Source organism: Homo sapiens, chromosome 1 (assembly GCF_000001405.40).
Source record: "Homo sapiens chromosome 1, GRCh38.p14 Primary Assembly".
Lineage (NCBI taxonomy): Eukaryota > Metazoa > Chordata > Mammalia > Primates > Hominidae > Homo > Homo sapiens.
In genome coordinates this window covers 240,237,518-240,255,072 of record NC_000001.11, presented here as the reverse complement: position 1 = coordinate 240,255,072, position 17,555 = coordinate 240,237,518, and the positions used below count along the sequence as shown (strand labels likewise).

At 38.3% G+C, this 17,555-nt stretch overlaps 1 protein-coding gene across 8 annotated transcripts in view; it reads right to left on the bottom strand.

Moving 5' to 3' along the window:
• The window catches only part of FMN2 (formin 2), a 383,305-nt gene that overhangs the window by 220,115 nt on the left and 145,635 nt on the right, over window positions 1-17,555 (bottom strand). For 2 of the 8 annotated variants that reach the window (XM_011544237.4, XM_047425620.1), the window contains one exon: window positions 13,901-15,434. The exons of the other annotated variants lie outside the window; for them this stretch is intronic. In XM_011544237.4, the coding sequence (XP_011542539.1) occupies window positions 15,429-15,434 (6 nt within the window). In that variant the 3' untranslated portion in view covers window positions 13,901-15,428. Of the gene's footprint in view, window positions 1-13,900; window positions 15,435-17,555 lie in introns of those variants that run through there. 8 annotated transcript variants of the gene reach the window in all.

The following is a 17,555-nucleotide window of genomic DNA, read 5'->3' as shown; positions in this document are numbered from 1 at the left end:
TTCCACCACAGACTCCTGCAATCGTAGCCATGGGAGAACCCCGCGGCCTGCACAGGCCCTGAGGCTAACATTGGGAGCCACCCGGAGATCAGGCAGCGGCACCCCTCCAGAGGGAGCGCGCACTGAGTTCCACTCACCTGCTGTGTCACAAGCAGTTACAGGAGGGCACTGTTTTGAAATGTCAGCCCCCACCAGACTGCATCCTGGCCTGGGGCCCAATAGCCCCTGCATCTCCACATCCCCGGGGCTCCCCTGATATCCTCCAACCGCAGCCAGGGCCAAAGCACAAGCCTTTGCCAACGACCCTGCTGCCCCTAGCAACAAGGCCTCTGTGCATTTAAGAGCACCCTGAGGATGGGGCACCCCTCTTGCAGCCGCCATATGGAGCCACAGCACAAGCTCCCCCAGTCACCTGTTTACAACTGCTGCCATGGTAACTCCACCCTCCCCAGCAGCAGGGCCTCAGGGCCACCACACAGTCGCTGCCACCCCCATCCAGCTATTCTGCCAGGGGTAGGGGGGACCTGGGGTCCACCCCTATCCTACTTACCACAGCCAGCACCCACACGTACCACCTAGGGGCCAGAGAACAGGACCATTTAACCATGTTAAAACCCATCCCACTCCCCCAGAGCCCAAGACCACCACCCAGAGGCTTGGGAATGGCCCTGCCCCATTCACCACCATTGACACCTGAGCACTCCTTCTGAGGGCCTGAGGACAAACCCACCCAACCTACTGCTAACACCACAGCTAGCACCCACCCACCCACACCATCCACTCACCCATGCCACCTGCAAGCCTTGAGACTGCCCCGCGTGGCCTGTCATAGCCACTGCAACACCAGCGCAAACCACTTGGGAGCCTAAGGCTTGTCTCACCACTACTACTGCGTCCCTCAGCACGATGCCCACTGCCTAGGAGCCTAAGGACCCTCCCAGCCACCCAGCCCACTTCTTCCACTGCTGGCACCCAAGCAAGCCACCTGGAGGTCCAACTGGCCTGACTGAACCTGCTAATATCAGGGCCAGCATACACCACCCTAAGACCAAAGGACAGGCATGCTCAGCCTGCCACTGCCACCTCAAGCACCTGCCAGTGATTGAGGACTGGCCCACCTAGCATCCTCATCACCAGCAAAACTTTACCATGACCTCCACTAACAACCACACCCTAAGCCACTGAGGAAATTACAAGCACTACTGACACTTACAGATGAAAAAAATCATACAGAGACTACACTGCTGTATTCATCCAGAATCAAAGGCAAAATGCTACATCAAACCAACACCACAGATACATCTTCAGGAAAAAGTCCTCCCCTATAAAAGCAAATTCAAAAAAGTTGGAATAAGTGACTGTTATACCAGATGCACAAATATCAATGTAAATAAACAATAAACATAAAACAAAGAGATATTACACCTCCAAATGAACATAATAATTCTCCAGCAACAAATTCCAATGAAAAAGACATTCATGAAGTTCCAGAAAAAGAATTCAAGATAATGATATTAAAGAATCTCAGTGATATACAAGAAAATTCATATAAACAATACAAAGAGATTAGAAAAACAATTTAGGATATGAATGAGAAATTTATCAAAAAGATAGATATCGTAAAAAAGAACCAAACAGAAATTCTGGGATGGAAGACTTCATTGAATAAAATACAAAATACATTTGAAAGCTTCAGCAATAAACTAGATTAAGCAGAAGAAAGAATTTTAGAACTTGAAGACAGGTCTTTTGAAATAACCTAGTCAGATAAAAATAAAGAATAAAGAATAAAAATGAATGAACAGGCCAGGCGTAGTGTCTCACGTCTGTAATCCTAGCACTTTGGGAGGCTGAGGCAGGCAGATAATGAGGTCAGGAGATTGAGATCATCCTGGCCAACATGGTAAAACCCCATCTCTACTTAAAAAAGTAAAATAAAATAAAATACAAAAATTAGCTGGGTGTGGTGGTGCATGCCTGTAATCCCAGCTACTCAGGAGGCTGACGCAGGAGAATCGCTTGAACCAGGGAGTCAGAGGTTGCAATGAGCCAAGATTGCACCACTGCACTCCAGCCTGGTGACAGAGTGAGACTCTGTCTCCAAAAAAAAAAAAAAAAAGTGAACAAGACTACATCACACATGGGACACCATAAAGCAAACAAATATTTGAATTTTCAGTGTCCCAGAAGATGAAGAATAAATGAAAGGGATCAAAAACCTACTTAGTGGAACAATAGCTAAAAAAAATTCCCAAGTCTAGTAAGAGATTTAGACATACAGATACAGGAAGGTCAGAAATCCCCAAATAGATACAATTCAAAAAGGTTTTCTCTGCGGCACATTAGAGTCAAACTGTCAAAAGTGAGAGGCAAAGAACAAATTCTAAAAACAGCAAGAGATAAGCATCTAGTCACTTATAAGAGAACCACCCCCCCCGTCAGAATAACAGCTGATTTCTCAGCAAAAACCTTACTGGCCAGGAGAGAACTGAATGATATATTCAAAGAGCTGAAAAAAAAAAAACTGCCAGCCCAAGATACTCTTCCCAGCAAAGTTACCCTCCATAAATGATGGAGAAATACAGTCTTTCCTAGACAAGCAAAAGTTGAAGGTACTAATCACCAAAAGACTGGGCCTACAATAAAAGCTTATGGTAGTCCTACACCTGCAAGCAAAAGAATGATATCCACCATCATGAAAGCATGCAAAAGTATAAAACCTACTGGTAGAGCAAATGCACAAATAAGGAAGAGGAAGGATCCAAATGTTGCCACTATAGAAAACTACAAAACCACAATGATGAACAATAAGAGAAAAAGAAAGGAAGAAAGGATATACAAAGCAATCAGAAATCAGTTAAGGAGGCCGGAAATAGTGGCTCACACCTGTAATCCTAGCACTTTGGGAGGGTGAGGCAGGTGGATCACCTGAGGTCAGGAGTTTGAGACCAACCTGGCCGAAATGGTGAAATCTCGTCTCTACTAAAAATACAAAAATCAGCCAGGTGAGATGGCGGGCGTCTGTAATCCCAGCTACTTGGAAGGCTGAGGCAGGAGAACTGCTTTAACCCGGGAGGCGGAGGTTGCACTGAGCCGAGATAGCGTCACTGCCCTCCAGCCTAGGCAACAGAGTGAGACTTCGTCTCAAAAATAAATAAATAAAACAAAATAAAATACAGAAATCAATTAAGGAAATGACTTGAATTTGCCCTTACATATCAATAATAACCTTGAATGTAAACAGATTAAACTTTCCGCTTATAAAGAAGATGATAACATGATAAAAGTTTCAATTCAGCAAGAGGATGATTGTACCCAACAACGGAGCACACAGATATATAAAACATATTATTAGATCTAAAGGGAGAGACAGACTCAAATACAATAATAGTAGGAGACATCAACATCACACTCTCAGCAACAGTAGGATCATCTAGACAGAAAATTAACAAAGAAATCTAGGATTTAAACTGAACTTTAGACCAAATGGACCTAACAGACATTTACAGAACATTGCATTCAACAGCTAGAGAACACACATTCTTCTCATCATCACATGGAACATTCTTCAGAGTAGATAATGTGTTAGGACACAAAAATATCAACACATTTTAAATATCGAAATCATATCAAGTATCTTCTCAGATCTCAATGAAATAAAAGTAGAAATCAGCAACAAGAGGAACTTTAGAAACTGCACAAATACATGGAAATTAAACAACCTGCTCCTCAATGACTACTGAGACCAGGAAGAAATTAAGGAAGAAATAAAAAAAATCCTAGAAGCAAATGAAATTGGAAACACAAAACACCAAAACCTATGAGATACAACAAAACTAGTACTAAAAGGAAAGCTTAAAATAATAAACGCCTACATCAAAAAAGTAGAAAGATCTCAAATAAACAATCTAACAGTGTATATCAAGGAACCAGAAAAGCAAGAACAAAATCAGTAGGAAGAAATAAGTAATGAAGATTAGAACAGAACTAAACAAAATAAAGACTAAAAAAACCCACAAAGAATCAACAAAATAAAGTTAGTTTTATGAAAAAATAAACAAAATTGATAAACTGCTAGCTAGACTAACCAAGAAAATGAGAGAAGACCCAAATGAACAAAATCAGAAATTAAAAATGAGACATTACAACTGATACCACAGAAATATAAAAGATCATCAGAGACTATTATGAACAACTATACAATAATATACTGGAAAATCTAGAGGAAATGAATAAATTCCTGGACACATACAATCTACCAAGATTGAATCAGGAAGAAATAGCAAACCTGAACAGACTAACAATGAGTTGTGAGATTGAATCAGTAATAAAAAGTCTCCCAACAAAGAAAAGTCCAGGACCAGATGGTGTCACTGCCAAATTCTACAAAACGTACAAAGAACACTAATTTTCCTCAAACTCTTCCCACCCCCCAAAAAAAATAGAAGAGAAGGGAATGCTCCCTAACTTATTCCACCAGGTCAGCATTACCCTGATACCAAAACCAGACAAGAATACAACAAAAAAGAAAACTACAGGCCAATATCCTGATGAACAGAGATGCAAAAATCCTTAACAAAACACTAACAAGTTAAGTTCAACAGCACATCTAAAGAAAATACCATAATCAAGTGGGATTTATCCCAGGGATGCAAAAATGGTTGTACATATGCAAATCAATAAATGTGATATATCAAATCAAGAGTGAAAAACAAAAGCCATATGATCATCTCAATGGACACAGAAAAAGCATTTGATAAAATTCAACATCCCTTCACGATAAAAATTCTCAATAATCTAGGTATAGTAGGAACATACCTCAACTTAATAAAGGCATATATGGCAAACCCACAGCTAACATCATACTGAATGGGGAAAAGATGAAAGCCTTTCCTCTAATAATTGGAACAAGACAAGGATGCTCACTTTCACCACTCCTACTTAACATAACATAGTGCTAGAATTCCTAGCCAGAGAAATCAGGCAAGAGAAAGAAATAAAAGGATTCCAAACTGAAAGACAGGAAGTCAAACTGTTTCTCTTTACAAATGACATAAGCTTTTATCTAGAAAATATAAGATGCCACCAAAAAACCATTAGTTCTGATGAACTCAGTAAAGTTGCAGTATACAAAATCAACATACAAAAATCACTAGTTCCTACAGAACAATAATGAACTAGCTGAGAAAGAAATGAAGGCAATCCAATCTCAAATAGCTACAAAAAATAAATAACTTAGGAATAAATTTAACCAAGAAGACAGAAGACCTCTGTAAGAAAAACTACAACACATTGATGAAAGAAATTGAAGAGGACAGAAACGAATAGACATTCCATGCTCATGGACAGGAAGAATAAATATTGTTGAAGTGACCCTACTCCCCAAAACAATCTCCAGATCCAGTGCAATCCTTATCAAAACAATGACATTTTTCACAGAAATACAAAAGCAACCGTAAAATTCTTATGGAGCCAAAAACAAACCTGAATAGACAAAGCAATCCGGAGCAAAACGAATAAACAAACAAAGCTGGAGGTATCACACTGCCTGACCTCAAAATATATTACAAGGTTATAGTAATCAAAACTGTATGGTATTGATATAAAAACAAACACATAGACCAATGGAAAAGAATAGAGAACCCAGATATAAATCCACATATTTACAGGCAACTGATTTTCAACAAAGACACCAAGAACATACATGAGGGAAAAGACACCCTCTTCAATAAATTGTGCTGGAAAAATTGGATATCTATATGCAGAACAATGAAACTTGACCCTTATCTCTCACCATATACAAAATCAGTGCAAGACGGATTAACAACTTAAAGGCAAGACTCGAAACTATAAATCTACTAGAAGTAAACAGAGGGAAAATACTTCAGGAAATTGGTCTAGGCAAAGATTTTATGGCTAAGACCTCAAAAGCACAGACAACTAAAACAAAAATAGACAAATGGGACTATTTTGAGCTAAAAAGCTTCTGGACAGCAAAAAAACAATCAACAGAGTAAAGACATTGCCTGTTTAATGGGAGAAAATATTTGTAAACTATTCATTCAACATGGGACTAATATCCATATATGAGGAACTCAAACAACTCAACAGTACATAAAAAAATGAATAAGTAAGTAAATAAATAAATAAATAATTCATCTCCTTTGCCCACTTTTTAAGGAGGATATGAGTAGACATTTCTCAAAAGACAACATACGAATGGCCAACAGGTATATGAAAAAAACTGCTCAACATCACTAACCATCAGGAAAATGCAAATCAAACACAATGAGATATTATCTTACCCAGTTAAAATGACTATTATTTAAAAAAATAGATTCTGGCAAGGATGTGAATAAAAGGGGATTTAAATTAGTACAGTCACTATGGAAAACAATATGGAAATATTTCAAAAAACTAAAAATAGAACTACCATGTGATCCAGCAATCCCACTCCTGGGTATGTACCCAAAGGGAAAATAAATATTAAAAGGATATCTTCACCCTACGTTTACTGCAGTACTGTTCACAATAGCAAAGATATGAAATCAACCTGTGTCCATCAATGGACAAATAAAGAAAAAATATTTTTAAATATATATAACATGTATGTTATATATATATATATATATATATATATCCAATCACATGTATGTACTATAATGTATCCAATAACATGTATGTTATATATATATATATAATCCATAAAACATATACATACATACACAACAGAATATTATCCAGGCATAAAAAAAGAATAAAATCATGTCATTTGCAGCAACACGGATAGAACAGGAGGTTCTAAGTGAGATAAGCCAGGTAAAGAAAGTGAGAAAAGCCTTAAGTGAGATAAGCCAGGTAAAGAAAGACAAGTATTGTACACTCTCACTCATATGTGGGAGTGAAAAATGTTAATCTCATGGAGGTAGAAAGTAGAACAAAAGATATCAGAGGCTGCGTAGGGTGGGTGGTGGAGGGGGAGGTGATGAGGAGAGATTGATTAATGGGTACAAGCATTAGATAGAAGAAATACGTTCTAATGATAGAGGAGGGTGAGCATAGTTAACAACAATGTATTATATATTACAACATAGCTAGAAGAAAGGACTTGAAATGTTCCTAACTCACAGAAATGATATATGCTCAAAATGATGGATACTAAATATCCAGACTTCATCACCACGCATTCTATGCATGTAACATCATAAATATGTATAAATATGATGTATCATAAATATGTATAAATATTATGTATCAATAATAAACATTGAACATGCAAGTTCTCAGGCCTCATCACAAACCTACTAATCAGAACATGAGAGTAGGAACCATCACTCTGAATTTTGAAAGCCTTCCAAGTAATTCCAAAGCCACCCGTTTCATCTCATCCCTTCCTGTCCATTCTCCAAACTGATACCCAAGTACCCTCTCTAAAAATGCTGATATCTGCATGTTGCTTTTTAATCATAGGTTTTAAACCCAATTGGCTCATGTTTAAGGGTTAGTCCTTTAAAAAGTCTTATAGAATCTTTCACATTTCATATATGGAATTTGCTTTTTTTTTTTTTTTGAAATGGAGTTTTGCTCTTGTTGCCCAGGCTGGAGTGCAATGGCACGATCTCAGCTCACTGCAATCTCCGCCTCCCAGGTTCAAGCGATTCTCCTGCCTCAGCCTCCTGAGGAGCTGAGGTTACAGGCATGCGGGACCATGCCCAGCCAATTTTGTATTTACAGCAGAGATGGGGTTTCTCCATGTTGGTCAGGCTGGTCTCAAACTCCCAACCTCAGGTGATCTGCCTGCCTGGGCCTCCCACAGTGATGAGATTACAAGCTTGAGCCACCACTCCCAGCCTGCTTTTTCTATTATAATTCAAACACACTTGATCACAAACTGGATTTTACATTTAAATGCCTAAGATTTTACATAGGAACAATAATCATCTACCACCTTTCAGAAGGCAGACATTCAGAAGAGGACAGATGTCTAAAAGGATGGATTCCACAGTGTCCTTAAGTAACCCAAACTTTGCATTACGAACCACTGCTATGATCTGACCTTTTTTTCCAACACCTTGGAGAAGAAGAACCTAAAGTTAGAACATTCTTAGAATTCAGTGACCACAATACAATGAAGAGGAGAGTACACTCTTCTAAGATGATCTCAGAACTGAGGCAAAACGCAGAAAATGCAGAATTAACACATTTGAAATCTATAAAATTAGAACTTATAATCAGAAAAAAGAATTATCTTGAATCTGCTTTAATGTCACGTCTCTTAATAATTCTCTTAATAAAGTTATCATCTCAGGCTTCCCTAGAAGGCAGGACTGTGTAGAGATTATGAACACGGTCTCTGTAAAATAAAGCAGTATTTCTCAAACTTCATGTGTACTTGAATCATCTGGGATCCTTTAAAATGCAGATTCTGATCCCTAAATCTGGGTGGGACTGAGGTTCTTTGTTTCTAACGAGCTTTCGGGTGATGCCAGTTCTTCTGGTGCACAGATTGTGAGGTTCTCCTACTTGCTTTCTAATGTGTTGGAGAAAAGCTACCCCAACATCCTAAAGCCTCAGTTACCTCCCCTAGAAAAATGATTAAAACAGTATCAAATTCCAAAGACTGCAGTGGATATTCAGTGAGGTACTCTTAGTGGCATGGTTATAGCTGATTGTAGCCTCTAACTCCCAGGCTCAAGTGATCCCTCCCACCTCAGCCTCCTAAGTGGCTGGGATTACAGCCATGTTCCACAGCGCCAGCCTACATCCTACTTTTATCCAGGGATAGCCATATGACTAAGTTACGGACAACAGAATGCGGAGAGCGATAAAAGCGCAGCCTTCAAAAGGCTGGCTGGCCCTCTACTTTTTTTATTTATTTTTATTTTTATTTTTTGAGAGGGAGTCTCGCTCTGTCGCCCAGGCTGGAGTGCAGTGGTGCGATCTCAGCTCACTGCAACCTCCGCCTCCTGGGTTCACGTGATTCTCCTGCCTCAGTCTCCCGAGTAGCTGGGACTACAGGCATCCGCCACCATGCCCGGCTAATTTTTTGTATTTTTAGTAGAGACAGGGTTTCACCATGTTAGCCAGGATGGTCTCGATCCCCTGACCTCGTGATCCGCCCGCCACGGCCTCCCCAAGTGCCTGGATTACAGGCGTAAGCCACTGTGCCTGGCTGGCCCTCTACTTTCTCTATCCTTTTCCTCTCAGGCTGAGGCAGAATTATGGAAGTGAGCCATCATCAGTTATACTATGCCCTGAGGGTGAAGCAACAGAAGGCCTGGGGAATGAATCTCTGGACAACCTGATGGAACACAGGCACTGCACCTCCCTGGGCACTTACCTGCCTAGATTTCTCCATGAGAAAGATAAAATTAACTTTTCATCTTTTACAAGTCACAACAGAGACCACCAAACCAGTATTTTAACTAATACCCCTACTACACATCAGGCATTGTGCTAGGCAGTAGGGTAAATGCACGGAAAACCATAAAAAAACCAGACACTTACCATCCTCTGCCTAATGAGCTCTATTTCACAACCCCTAGAGCTCAGTCAGTGATACCATGATCTCCAGTCATCAGGACGGGAACCTTTGACTAACTTCCTCTGCATTTCTGGTATCCAGCCACACATCAAGTTCCACTGATGCTTCCTTGTCTTTCATTCTTCTCTTTCACTACCACCACCCTGCTGCAAGTTCTCATCACTTCCTCCCAGAGAGTACGGGTAGACTGGGATTCTGCCTCTAGGATCTCAGTCCTGCTCTCAGCCCAGCATTCTGTACTGCCTTCATCCTGTCAGTCCCCTTTTAACAGATATTTAGTGGCCCCTGATAATGTATTTCTCTTCTATTTTCTATTTTCAAAATGACAAACTCTGACTATTCAGTGGACAGGAATGTTCAAGTCTCATTCCACTGTGATGCTTCTCCTGAACATCCCTGTACTTCCCACAGAACTCTTACAGGAGCTGACTTAGGAGCCACTTCTTTACTCTTTTGAGACTATATACTCTCCTACTGCAACATATACATGATAAAGTGATTTGGGGGCAATTTTCACTAAAGTATAATTACCTCTAGACAAACTCTGTGTCATATTGCTTACTGTAGTACTCAGCACAATGATTGATATATTGTAAGCATCCAAAAATGTCCGCTGAATAAGTAAACCTTGTTTAAACTGCTATGCCCAGCTTAGATGTCCCACAATAAACTTGGAAAAATGGTTAGACAACCAACCTTGGCTAGACATCAGAATTACTTAGGTACCTTCTTAAATAAAGGATCCTGCTCAACCTTCTGAAAAGTCAATTTTCTCTAGAGTAGGGCCCTGGAATATGTATGTTTTAAAAAAATACCACAGCTGATGCTGGTGCAGATTTGGGAACCACTGAATACTTCTTTTGAAAAGGAAGTATTTGAATAATGGTTGAACTGTGATTCTACTATTAAATTCAAGAACTGCAAGATAATATCTTCTGTAACTTAGAATCATATCAAGACATAGTAGAAAGTTTATGTGAACTATATTTATTACACAAGTAGCCAAAACCACATTTAAATAATTATTTGATCAGTCAACATGGTGTTTATTGCTAATTCGGAAGTTTAAACATAGTATGCATTTTATATGTGTCACATGGAATATTAGCTAATTAAGATGACATCAAAGAGCTCCACATTAAATATCCAATAGAGATAACTTGAAGTTTCTTGCAATTTCTTACAAGCTAGTAAAATCTTACAATTTCTTATAAGCTAGTAAAATCTCACAATTTTTTACAAGCTAGTAAATAATTTGCACACAGTCTAAATGTAGAGCCACAACAAAAGTTTTAGTTTCCTGATTCCTAGTTAAAAGAGCATATTGCTTTCTTCTGAAATGGCATGTCATGACCTTGCTGAAAAGTGGACATTAAATAAGGGATAAATGGCCAGATCCAATAAGGCAAATCTTTCTCTGAAGAGAAAAAGATAAGATTACTCAACGATAGAGATGAATTAAGGTAAATTTCAAAGCAGAACCTCAGAATGTGAAAACTGTTGTTTCTCAAACGACATTAGAGCACAAGGTGGTATATCCAGAGGTATGCAATGTATTCAAGGAATAAGAGCTATCAAATGCACCCAAGAATACCCTAATGACCAGGAGAATATAAGTAAATATGAAATAGTAAATCCAAAGTGAACAAGAGATGTAAGAATAGAAGGAAAGGCAAAGAGAACAATTCCCAAACTCAAGATTTCCAATGATTTGATCTGTATCAGAGTAGGAGATCCATATTTCAGGACATGTCTTTGCCTAAATTAGCATCCATGTAACTTTGGACAAGCTCCTTGGCCTCAAGATCTAAATTTTCCTACCTGTAGAATACAGTTAATAATCCATATGCAATATTCCCATAACTTGAGATAAACAAATTCGGTAAAGTATAAAATATTTTCAAAGCATAAAATGTCTTGCAAATGCCAGGTGCTAGTGTTTTATTTTGTAATCCAATAACCGGCAGTTATATTTATGATGTTGTAAAATCACTTGAGTTTATTCCAACAAGAGGAACAGCAGAGACAATAGAAGGCGATAAGAAATAAACATCTAAAATTAAGAAGGAGAACAACCCATACATTGGCCAACTCCTGCCCCTTGGGAATTTACAAAGTGTGATTTCTCCAAGAACTCTTTAGACATACTGTTGTTGGCTATCTCATAACCTTGATTTGGATTCAGTTTTCTTACTTTGGAAAGATAAATTCATCTCTAGATTTTTGACCCAATGAGAATCAGGAACCATGAGCCTTTTCTGAACTGTCTGATACTATTTCATGAAAACAGCAGTCATTTTAAATCTTAACTAGTCTACACTCAAAAGTGAAGAATGCTTGCATGAGATTTTGCAGAGCAAGAGGTTATCAGGGTTTTTTGTTTTTTGGTTTTTTTTTTCGGTCTACTCCCGCAACCAAGGAAGACTGCAGTCTTACTTACACTACCGTATTCTCCTACTCAGATTAATGGTAAGCCTCAGGGGAGGGTGGCTGATCTCACAGGCATCCAACAGCATTCCAAGGCACTGCAGACCACAGAAGGCACTGACACTGACCATGCCCACAAGTGGTATCTCCAGACTATCTGGTTGGCACCAGACAATCCTCTTTACTCGGGCAGCCTAGATTCAATCTCAGAAGCAAAGCAGAATTACAGTTTGCTAATTGGTGAGGTGACATTTGACACCTCTCACTGATTAAGAATCTAGAAGCCTGCTTCTGAACTTGGTCCCAGATGTGCCTCTTGGCAGAGGATCAAGCTATAGTGTGGGTGAAAGCGTCTTGCTTTGTTTGTCCTGCCTTTGGGTCTGAGTCAGCCTCAGAAGGAGACTGACAGCTGTGGAATTTGGTAAGGTTACCAAGAAGAGCCTCTTGTGCTCTCCTAGCCTGTCTCTCTCATTTGGTTGTCTTGATGTATATTTTAGACTTCAGTTTGGAGAGCTGTGTCTCCTGGTTGTAACATCATCTGGATGTTGTTCCTCAACTGAGTAGGTTGTTTCAATCTCTCCTGACACCATCTTCTTGGTTCCTGCTTTCATTCTTATTTAGTCTATGATCCTGATACCGGTCTCCTGGTCCCATCCCTCGGGTTGTTCTAACAAACTAGAAGCGAGAATTTCAAATATGTGCAAGTAAGTCTGCAGGACATCTTCCCACCAAGTAAAAACTAGTGTCCATCTGACTTCTCCATTGTTTCTTGATAACAATATCTCCCTCGACTATCTTTTGCCATTCAATATACCATTATAAATCACTGTTAAACCAGAAATCAAGTCAGACATGAAAGATGTGTCATTTTAAAAAGAAGCAAATGCATGTTATATAAAAGCGATTTGGTAAACTCTAAGACATACGTGTTCCAGTTGATTTTAAGAAAGGCACACTAGCCGGGCGCGGTGGCTCACGCCTGTCATCCCAGCACTTTGGGAGGCCGAGGCAGGCGGATCACGAGGTCAGGAGATCGAGACCATCCTGGCTAACACGGTGAAACCCCGTCTCTACTAAAAATACAAAAAATTAGCCGGGCGTGGTGGCGGGCACCTGTAGTCCCAGTTACTCGGGAGGCTGAGGCAGGAGAATGGCGTGAACCCGGGAGGCGGAGCTTGCAGTGAGCCGAGATCGGAGCTTGCAGTGAGGCGAGATCCAGCCTGGGCGACAGAGCGAGACTCCGTCTCAAAAAAAAAAAAAAAAAAAAAAAAAAAAAGCAAGGCACACTAAAATAAAGAAAATGATACCTACCTAGCCTACAAGATTAGCCACACTTATGATCCAACCCAATCAATGGTTAGATTCTTCTCTTAGAATAGAAGCTGTTAAACAAGAGGAGTAGCGCCATAGCCTTTTCTAAATACAGTCAAGTTGAATAGAGTAATTAAATGTCCCAGCAGCGTGACACGCATAAATCACATCTGTAAAAATAATAACTATTATGTATTGAGTCACAGAAATGAATGATGTTCAGTATGAAAAATGGCTGAAAGACCAAAGCCAGAGAGGCAGGCTGGGATTTCCTGTCAGCTAAGTCCGACTCCAAAGTTCACTTGTCCTCTGCTGTAGGCAGTCCCTGAGAGCCATGTGCACACACACCTCTGCCATAACACAACACTAAATACAGCACAGGAATTTGCTAACAAAAAACCAAGGGAACTTCTTAGGCTTTTTGATATTTTTCTTTAAAGGGATAAGTTTAAAAGAATTAGAAACTCAATTTCTTATTTATATTAACTTTTCCTTTCTTAGAAAAAGCTGAAACATTTAGGATGACCTTGACAAAAAAAAAAAAAATACAATTAAAAAAAAAATCCAGAGTTGAAAATACACCAAAGTGATTCCAAACAAACCGATGAAGAAACAAAATGGCATTAGGTATATATTTTATTAAAGTTTTTATTCTAGCAGGTTGCATTTCTAAATTTCACAGTTTGTTTAAAAATATCACAGTAACATGCACTATAATGCTGCAGTATCAGCAGGCTCTTAAAACAAAATGCCTTTCTAATTTAAACCAACTATCCTAAGTCTCCACTCTTTAAAGCAAAAAGAAAATATGCACAGATGTTTAAACTCCTTGAAATTAAAATAACATTACAATCTTTTATTCTTTGAACATATCTTTTTGCCAGTCTAGCCAATTTTGGCATGAAAAACATTTGCAAGATATAATTTGGACCTTTGCTATTTCAAATATCTTGGAAAGGAGAAAACAATGTTTCACCTATCTGGTTGCATACAAGTCTGCTGAGCTATATTTTTCCCTTCAGAATTCCCTCTAAAAATCTGGTTTTAGATATGTATCCTATCTATAATTTTCATATTATGTTTTCAGCACTTAGAATTCAGTTAGAAGCATCAAAGTTTACAATAAAAATTAAAATATAAGAAAACCAATACATTGTGAGTACCATATCTAAATGTTTCATGATATTGCCAAAAATATTTGGATATCAAGTATGTGTCTACAAAATACAGGCATCAGCATCTCACTTTGTACTTCGTTACCTCAATGAGAGATATTAATCATCACAAATAAAAGACGTGATGCAGATAATAAGGTTAATGACAACCACAAAGGAATAAAAGACTCTTATTGAGACCATGTGCATATTTATTATTATGTTGTAGCAAGTATGTATTCAGAGAACATTATTTGGTGCATAATAAAGGGCTTTAGTTTATTCTTCCTTGTAATCACTGCCAAAATCCAGTGAAACAGGTACCACTACGGTCCACATTTTACAGCAGAAGTGGCTGTTCAAGGTCACATATCCATAAAGTGGCAGAGCTAGGAAATGAGCCAGGCAGTCTGGTTCCAGGCTCTACCCCCTTGACCACTATTCCACACTACCCCTCAGCCATATGGAGAGCACACTCCTACCAAGGAATGAGACACACGATGCCTCATTTTCCCCACTATTTCCTTAACGCCCTGTGTTATCAAATATAATTAATATGGGCAGACGGAACATAAAGAGAATAAATTAGTTTTCAAATTGTTAACTAGAAAGCAAACCTTAGACGGTAAGGTCCATCTGAATATTCTGTCTTATGTATTGCTCAATTTCAGGGAAATTATGAAAAACAAATAACAACCAAAATAGTTCCCTTCCTTTGTAGTTATAACAACAACAAAATGCCTATGAGAAATTTAGATGAAAAGTTTGATAGAGAAAATGTTAAATATTCAGAAAACAAATGAATCACTGAGCATATGTTTATTGACTAGAATCACATAATAAACTTTTAATGATTTAGTAAATGGTCATTCGGTATTCAGGCGTTTTGCTTCACTTCCTGCTCTTTGGCCAATGGCATGATGTTTCTTTCTGGCCCTTTTATAGGGACAAGATTTGATTTCTTGCTCCATCCATAGAGTATGCTGGTGCTTTTAGCACTGTGAAGACACAAAGATGAAAACTGGATTTGACCCTATCCTATGGAGGAAGACATGTCCAGCTTCCTTGAAAGTCTACAATCTTTATTCCTAGAAATGACATACTGAATAAGCAAGTGGCTGATTCTTCAAAGACCTCCTAGAGTTTGGAAGTTAAAGAGAGATAAACAGTGGCATGTCAGTGAGTTAATTTATGATGCTCATTTTCAGAGAATAAAAATTTCAACATGTGATTTTAAGCCTTTACAGACCAAATAGTCTTCTTTCTGATGGCATCATTTTCAGAGATCATATATTTAGCATTTTTCCTTTCTTTAACAAATCCATTTGAAGAAATTTATCATATTGTGTCAAACAATTCTATCACATCCTCGTCCAACAATAGCCAAATCATTCATTATTCCTATCCCTGAAGACATCTTCAACTCTATTGTCCCAGAGTCTCAAATTAGCGTTTTGCTGTTCAATAAAAAGTTTTTCTAAAGTGGCCACTATTAAGAAATTTTAGTTTTTAAAATATTGTTATTCTATAGTAAAGTGAACGAAACTCAAGTATAGAGTTCATTTAATTATTGCTTACAAATGCATCATTGTAACTATCACTCAGATCATTGTATAGGACATTATCAGCACTCCTGAAGGCTCCATTTATACCTCCTTCAATACTCCCCCACACAAAAGTCTCCTTCTAACTTCTATCGTCACAGATAACTTCTGCCTGTTCTTGAGCATCATAAATGGAAACACTTTGTTTATAATGGCTTTTGCCTGTAAAATCCATATTGTTGTTGAGTATAACAGATTGCTATTTTTCATTGTTACTATTCCACCGTGTATCTAATATTGATAGATATTTAGAAGGTTTGCAGTTTAGGGTTTTTCAAGTAATGCTACTCCTATGACTACTGGGTCCTAGGGTAAATGTATTTGAACCTGAGTATTTACTATGAAGTAGATTTCCAACGTAATTGTACTTGTTTGTAACTCTAGCAGAGCAACTAATGAAATGAACAAATAAAAACTTCATACTTTCCAATAATTTTCTTAAAAATTTATCTTGTTATGATAAAATTATTAGCTACCTCAGAACAAAATCACAAGATTAAATAAGTCACGCAGGAGCCTATAAACTAGTTAAATATCTTGAAAAGTCATTATATGTGTCAGTGGTTTCTAATACCACATCTACAGATACATACACATGATGAAGAGATACACTGTTAGGTATTCACCAAATAAGTTTTAATGTCTTTACCCAAGATCACTGGCTGAACATTCAGAAGCAGTGGTTATAAGGATACACAATGTTAAACATATTTCAAGTTTTCATAAATATCTCTATTGAATATCTAATAGATAGCTAAATGATGTCATTCTAACTCCTAAATGTTCCTCGAATCAGTCCTTTCTTCTCAATCATCATTACCTTATTTTAACACCATTATCTTCCCCAAAGCACTACAGTCAGCTGCATAAAGGTATTTAGTTAAAAGTAAATTTGAATTTTCGATAAGTATACAAGCATTTGCTGGAAATGACTACAGGTGAATGTTTATTTCTGGGTTGGATTTTTCCAGCTAGTTCATTCTGCTTAATGCCTAGAATCTGTAGACAATGTGTTCATAGAAACAAACACAGCCAGATCAAAACCCTGAGGAAGGAAATCATCTTTTAAAAGACTCATTGAGAAGTCAAATAAAAGCAATTTTAGAATCAGATGCTATTTGGGATTATGAAAGTTTGTTTTCCCAAGCCTAGTGTAATTCTCTTAAATTTAAGGCAGCAAGTAGGCAAAGAAACTCAAGTATCCTCTAGAATTCTGCATGTATAACTCAACTCCAATCTCTCTCAAAGCCCAGTCTTATTCTGCAATTTGCCCCCTACCCTGCCCACCCCTCCCAAGATAAAGTACTAAGCCCAGTGCTTGGCACACAGTTATTCTTCAATAAACAGTAATGGAGTGAATTAATGCCACATGGAGTCTCTGATTATCTTAATGCTCCAATGAAATTCCCTTCTGTCACCACACCATGACTCAATCTGAGAGGAAGACGTGTCCCATTCTGTAAGTGATTCCATCCCAAGATAAAAAGACCAGCTGCGGTATTTAATTAGTCTATT